We start from the raw sequence: 6,843 nt of genomic DNA, 5'->3' as shown, positions 1-6,843 counted from the left end.
GTGTGTGAAAACCTTAAATATAGTTTTTACTGAAAATTTAGATTACAGAAGAGTGTGTATAGAAAAAGTTGAATTGGTAATATTCAGAATATCTGGGTGAAGTTTGTTTTCACTTCCATTTAAATTTTCCTCTTGAAAAGAGTAGTACTCTAAGAAGTGTAAAGTCTGTATTTTGTTCCTACCTGTGCAGTAATTGATGTACATTTCAAATACGTCAAAATAAGTCATTCATATTTTTGCTATATCTTTAACAAGAATATCTATGGACACTCTACGGAGCTTGATAAAATAAAGCTCTTATGCATTGAAACTTTTTAAAGTTTTCATTTCAGAATAATGGTATGTATGTCTTAGTTGAAAATCAATTGTACTTGATTGGTTGTGGCAATTTAACTGTGTAATAACAAAAGTTAATTGAAGGGGAGCCTATTCTTTCTTTAAAATACAGGTAAAAGCTAAAGTTTATCATTTTTCAGGATTTCTCTTGTCTGATCTTACTTTGTCTTCGTTTGAAGACCTTCAGTTTAGTGATGAGTCTGAAAGCATCATCGCTAAGTATTTCATATTGAAAGGTATACTATTAATGGCAAAATTATGAAAAATAGTGCATTGGCATTATTTCCAGATGTGCCAAACAGCATTGCCTGTTTACTAAAGTAATCCATATAAATAGACTTAAGAAAATCCAACACCCTATAAGCATTCTGTTTGTAACGTTACCAGTTTTTAAGATATGGGGGAAAAATACAGCATAATAAATAGCTGATAAATGCATATTAAAGAAAGCTGAAGAGATTTACCTTAGTGTGTATAGAATGGGCCCTGATTCATGAAAATGGCATTTTAGCCAGATGTACTTGCTATCTTGTAATGAAAGAAAGTCAAGGAACCGTGCCTGAGTCAGGAGGAGAGAGGGATAAAGGCTGTGATGTGTCAGCTGCTAGATAGACAGCAGAGCCTCAGCCTGGGCGCCGGGTTCTCATGTGGTCAGTTCTAAGATTCCCTAACCTGACTTGTTTATTTCCCTTTAGTATATTTTTTCCTTGATCTCTCCACTCCCTCGGTTGTAGAGGAAAAATAAAAAAGACTTTTATTCCTCTCATTATAATTATACCCACTTCTCACAAAGAGGCTGACTACCGGCAGATCAATAATCAGCAGATCCCGAAGACTGACAAAGGCATTTGAAGAGAGAATAGTGTATTTAAATCCCACGCGCCACGATGAAATGATAGGCCATAATCACTCTTCATACAAATTCTTCTGCATTTCTAATTTTTTTTTCTTTTGAAAATGATAACAGGCACTGATAGACAACTCAGATCCCGAGGGAAGGCTGCCATGAAGAGAAGGCTCATAGTTTCCCCCAGGATTCAAATGACATCAAATAAGAAAGCTAAGAAATAGTACACATATTTTCACATAGATCAGTTAACGTTTCAACCTAGATAATCATTCTAGTAACTTAAATAGCAACAACAGGAAAAACAACAGAACGAAAATTGCCAAATGCGTAGAAAAGAGCAACCCGCACCACAATTATCAGCAACTTTCTACATGCAAGTTTTAATGTGAGATATACAGCCCAAGGGCAAGTGAATATGAGTTTTCCTGTAAGTGATGTCACTACAAACATGGCACATATGACCATGCATGTATGCAGATCTGTGCACATCACCATCAAAAGACTTCACATTTTTACTGAGATTCAGCACTGGTATGACAAAATCTTGTCAACTAAATAATGTAACCGTAGTCATTTCCTCTTATAAAGAATCATATAATCTGGAGCCAAAAAATCATATACTACTTTGTTTTTTAGGCAAAGGAAAGGCATTGGGATGTTTTGAATTTTTAAGAAGTATTGCTTCATGTGTGTATGTGTGTGTGTTGCAAAACATTTGAGAATGCCAGGGCCATAAGTATGAGTGACTAAGTGGAGGGAGATACACAAGTAAACAAGTATTTAGATCACAGTGTAGTCAGTGGCAAAACAGCTCTGCTCATTGAATACAATTTCACCCGCTGTGTGGGCAGAGGGGATGTCTGAGCTGAATTCTAAAGAGAAGGTGTACACTGAAGTGTAAACGCTGTGTGGGTGTGAACACAAAAGAGGGATATTCAGAGAACTATGGATCGTTTGAGTAAAGAACCTGAGGAAGGCCAGTTCAGGGATGTTCCTGGGAAAAATCAGCAAGGGCTAGGACAGTAGGGAAAAAGAGGTACACTTGATATGCTTCATTTCTTTCTGTGATACACTTTTAAAATTTCTTAGTTTCTGAAAAAGACAGATCAGTCCTACACCCTGATTCCCTTAGCACTAATTAGACCAACTCTCCACTCCATATCGTAGTTCACTAACACAGTTACTTAGTCATTGTTTTTCCAGGTTTTAACATCTGACATCTAATGGCAGGTGCTAAAAGCTGCCTGTGAAGCATGAGTGACATAAAAAGGAGGAAAATAGCATTTGTTGCCTGAGCAAAAGAGGCTTTTTGGAGTCTCAAAGCACTTTGTTCTTTGAGTTTTTGCAGATGGGGATGAGGATTTTCAAGCTTTAGGTGAGAATGAGAATCATTCTGAAAAAATATAGTATTTATTTTTAGAGGATGATGACTCATCAGGATTCACGAAAGCAGTTTTTCTTTTAGGGTGATGACAGCTTAAAATTAAAACTATTATTTTTCTACTAGATGTATGTCTGGTCTATTAATTATGCATTCAATATGTCATGTGTAAAATGAGTTAAGGGATAAGGATTAATGGTTCAAGAAAATCACAGTTGTAAATAATAAAAAAAAACTTTTAAAAGTATTTTATAACTTTATGTCAATTTTAATACAACATTTTTACTAAATATGTTTCTACCCAGAAAAAAAATAACAGCTTAAAAGTTAGCAAGCATCAATACACTGTGGCCATAGCCAGAAATGCTAATTCAACATATATTCTGCTATAAATTGAGAAAAAAAAATCTGCATTTGGAAGTTCTGTCTACCAGATCTGTTGGATATTCATCAAAGACTGACCCTACTTTATTTGGTGCCCCACCCTAAGCATGTACCACTAATTTACTGTGGAATTTTAGACACTATCAAGATGACCATTCACTATGTTGGCATCTTCGGGAACTGTATTCTTCCAAAATGGCAGATACTAGTTACATGTGGTGACTAAGTAATTAAGATGTAGTTAGTCCAAATTGAGATTTAAGCGTCAAATATACACCAGATTTAAAAGACTGTAAAAAACAGAAATATAAAATACCTCCTTAATAATTGTTTTTCTTGACTACATGTTAAAACAACATTTTGAAGATATATAGTATTAGGTCTAATATTTTATATATATTATTAAAATAAATTTCACCTGTTTCTTTTTACTATTTCTAATACGGCTACTAAGAAACTTAAAATTACAAAGTGGCTAACATTTGTGTCTTGTATTATATTTCTATTGGACAGCACTAATCTAGGGTGATTTTGGGAAGGAGGGTCATTATATGTACAGATTGTGTTTAATTCTTTTTAGGCAACATCATAATTTACTGAATTATTATTATTATTTTTTGAGATGGAATCTTGCTCTGTCTCCCAGGCTGGAGTGCAGTGGTGCGATATGAGCTAACTGCAACCTCTGCCTCCCAGTTCAAGAGATTCTCCTGCCTCAGCCTCCTGAGTAGCTGGGACTACCGGCGCCCGCCACCAAGCCCAGCTAATTTTTTGTATTTTTAGCAGAGACAGGGTTTCACTGTGTTAGCCAGGATGGTCTCAATCTCCTGACTTCGTGATCCGCTCACCTCAGCCTCCCAAAGTGCTGGGATTACAGGTGTGAGCCACTGCACCTGGCTACTGAATTATTTTATCACCTCTGTTTCCTACCTAGCTCATATAGTCCTCATGAATTTATTTCTCTCTCAGCCAAGTTAATTCTTCTAAGAGAGTTTTCTACAAAAGTTTTTCCATTGTAGACTTTTGAAAATTTTATGATTAATAGTATCCTTATTTTATGATTTATATAAATAAAATGTTATGATTGATACGATCCTTATTTTCTTTAAATAAAATATTTGACTATAGCATTTTACATTCATAGTTCTGTAACACTTTCAAACTATTTTTTCCATTGTTTTACTTATATCCTGATTTGACATTGAGAAACCTGGTCACAAAGTTAATTCTCTGTGTGTGTGTGTGTGTGTGTGTGTGTGTGTGTGTGTGTGTTAGGGTTGTGATGGTTAATTTTATATGTCAACTTAGCTGGGTCATGTTGCCCAGATATGTGGTCAAACATTACTCTGGATGTTTCTGGGAGGATGTTTTGGGATAAAAATAACATTTAAAATGATAAATTCAGAGTGAAGCACAGTGCCCTCAATTATGTGAGTGGGCCAACCTAACTAGTCAAAAACCTGAATTCAACACAAGACTGACTGCCCCCAGTCTCTGTCCCCAGCAAGAGGGACTTCTGCAGTGGAGTCTTAGGGCTTAAACTCAAGCACTGGCTCTTCTCTCATCTCCAATCTGCCAACCCTCCTCACAGAGTTTGGACTTGCCAGCCTCCATAATCACCTGAGTGAATTCCTTAAAATAAGTCTCTTTCTTTATAGTCCTCTCTTTCTGTATGAACTCCTTTACAAACTTTTCTTGATTCGATATTCTTAAAATTCTCTAAACTTGTTCTAGGATTTTTTTCTTCCCAATTGTGCTATTATGTCTCACAACCAGCCTTTTCAAGTTTTCTTTATTCAGAGCAATTACCGGTCAACATTTCTACAAATTTTCTTTTCCTTCATTTATTTTTCTTTATCTTGAAGAGATGATGAAAGTTCATTTTTCTTTCACATTTCCAAGTTTTCTTTTATACCTTCTGTGACTTCTCCTTGATCTGATCTTCCAGCACATGAATGCATTCTTTGGCTCTTTCCATTTGGCTGCACAGCTCATCTGCTGTATTCCTATTCAGACTGTAACAAATCTCATATCCAATGTTACTCTTTGGCCCTTTACAGATAAGCTGGCTTAACTGGTTGTGAGTTGTCAAGCCCAGAGATAGTTTATGCATTTTCTGCTGAATGTAGATGAGAGTTTCTGGCAGGCGAGGCGGTCCCCTCAGGGATGATAATCGAGCCTCCGAACACTCCCGATTTGTGACACCTCCTCTCCCTTAGACCATCATGTAGTCACAGAGGGTCTCTCTAGAGCTACAGCACCAGTTTACTAAAACCACTCTTACTCTGTTGTAGAAACCTGAAGGTGTGGGAAGAGAATAGGAAGAGAGAGAATGCTTCAGAGCTAGTAAGACTACATGTGGGGAAAAACAATGTTTTTCACCCTGGCTGAGCTCAAGCTCCGCCCTCCTCTTTTTACCTGGATAACCCAGGCTGGCATCCTAGGCTGGTGCTGCTTTTGTTCTTTGGTTCTGCCTCATGTGGTGAAAGTAGGCAGAATCTGTCCAGAGCAATGCTGGAAAGAACAAAAGAGCACCAATAATCAGCCGTTTCCTAACTTATCCTTAAATTGTGGCAAGTTTCCCTTTTCTGATCTGGGCTGTCACTTCCTCCTGCCTTGTTACCTCTGTCACTACAGGATGTACATAAGTTTTGCAATTGCTTTTAAGGCCTATTAGCATCTTCGTTGCTTCTTCTGTAGTTGTAGCATTCAATGAAGGGTATTAGCAGCTAGGGCTGGGTCACCATTTTTATAAGTGATTTTTACTGGTTCTTATACTTTACTCTCCTGCTAGTTCAAACAGATTATCAGTTGGTCCTATCATAACTGTTGGTCAAAATGTACAATTCTTAAATCTTAGGAGAAGGAGGATCTGTCTTACCTGAAAATCATTGTAACCACCAATATTGGAAACACAGGTTTCTTTTATGTTTTAACTCTCTCTAATGGGAGAAAATTTCAGTTTTGCCCTATCTAGGATTCTACCTTACCCCATACTTCTTGTTAATACATGATTTTTATGTACTGTTAACAATAACTGTTACCATGACATCACATTTCAACTTTGAATGTATAATTTAATTGTTAACTATACATATTATTCCTTTGACCAAATATATTTTTTGTATTTTGCATTCTACATTTATGTGTGTGTGTGTGTGTGTGTGTGTGTGTGTGTGTGTTTGTGTGTAGACACAGTGTCTCTTGGTATCCATGAGGGATTGGTTCCAGGACATGCTCCTCTCCACAAACACCAAAATCCATGGATGCTCAAGTCCCTTAAATAAAATATTGCCGTACTTGCACATAACCTACTTACATCCTCCCACATATTTGAAATCATCTCTAGATTACTTATAATACCTAATACAATGCAAATACTAGGTAAAAAGTTGTTATGCTATATTTAGGAAATAATGACAAAGAAGTGTTTACACGTTTAGTACAGACACCACCATCCTTCTTGTTTTTTTCTTTTTGAGATGGGGTTGCTTTGTCGCCCAGGCTGGAGTGCAGTGGCGCAGTCTTGGCTCATTGCAACCTCTGCCTCCCAGATTCAAGTGCTTCCCCTGCCTCACCCTCCTGAGTAGCTGGGATTACAGGCGCCTGCCACCACACCTGGCTAATTTTTGTATTTTTAGTAGAGGTGGGGTTTCACTATGTTGGCCAGGCTGGTCTCAAACTCCTGACCTCAAGTGATTCTGCCACCTCGGCCTCCCAAAGTGCTGGGGTGAGCCACCATGTCCGTCACCACCATCTTTTTAAAACAATATTTTAATCGTGGTTGGTTGGATTTATAGATGTGGAACCCTAGGATATGGAGGGCTGACTCTGTGTGTGTGTGTGTGTGTGTGTGTGTGTGTGTGTGTGTGAGCTACTTGAATATTTCAAA

The sequence above is a fragment of the Homo sapiens genome, chromosome 18 (genome assembly GCF_000001405.40).
Source record: "Homo sapiens chromosome 18, GRCh38.p14 Primary Assembly".
Lineage (NCBI taxonomy): Eukaryota > Metazoa > Chordata > Mammalia > Primates > Hominidae > Homo > Homo sapiens.
This window is presented reverse-complemented; position numbering follows the sequence as displayed.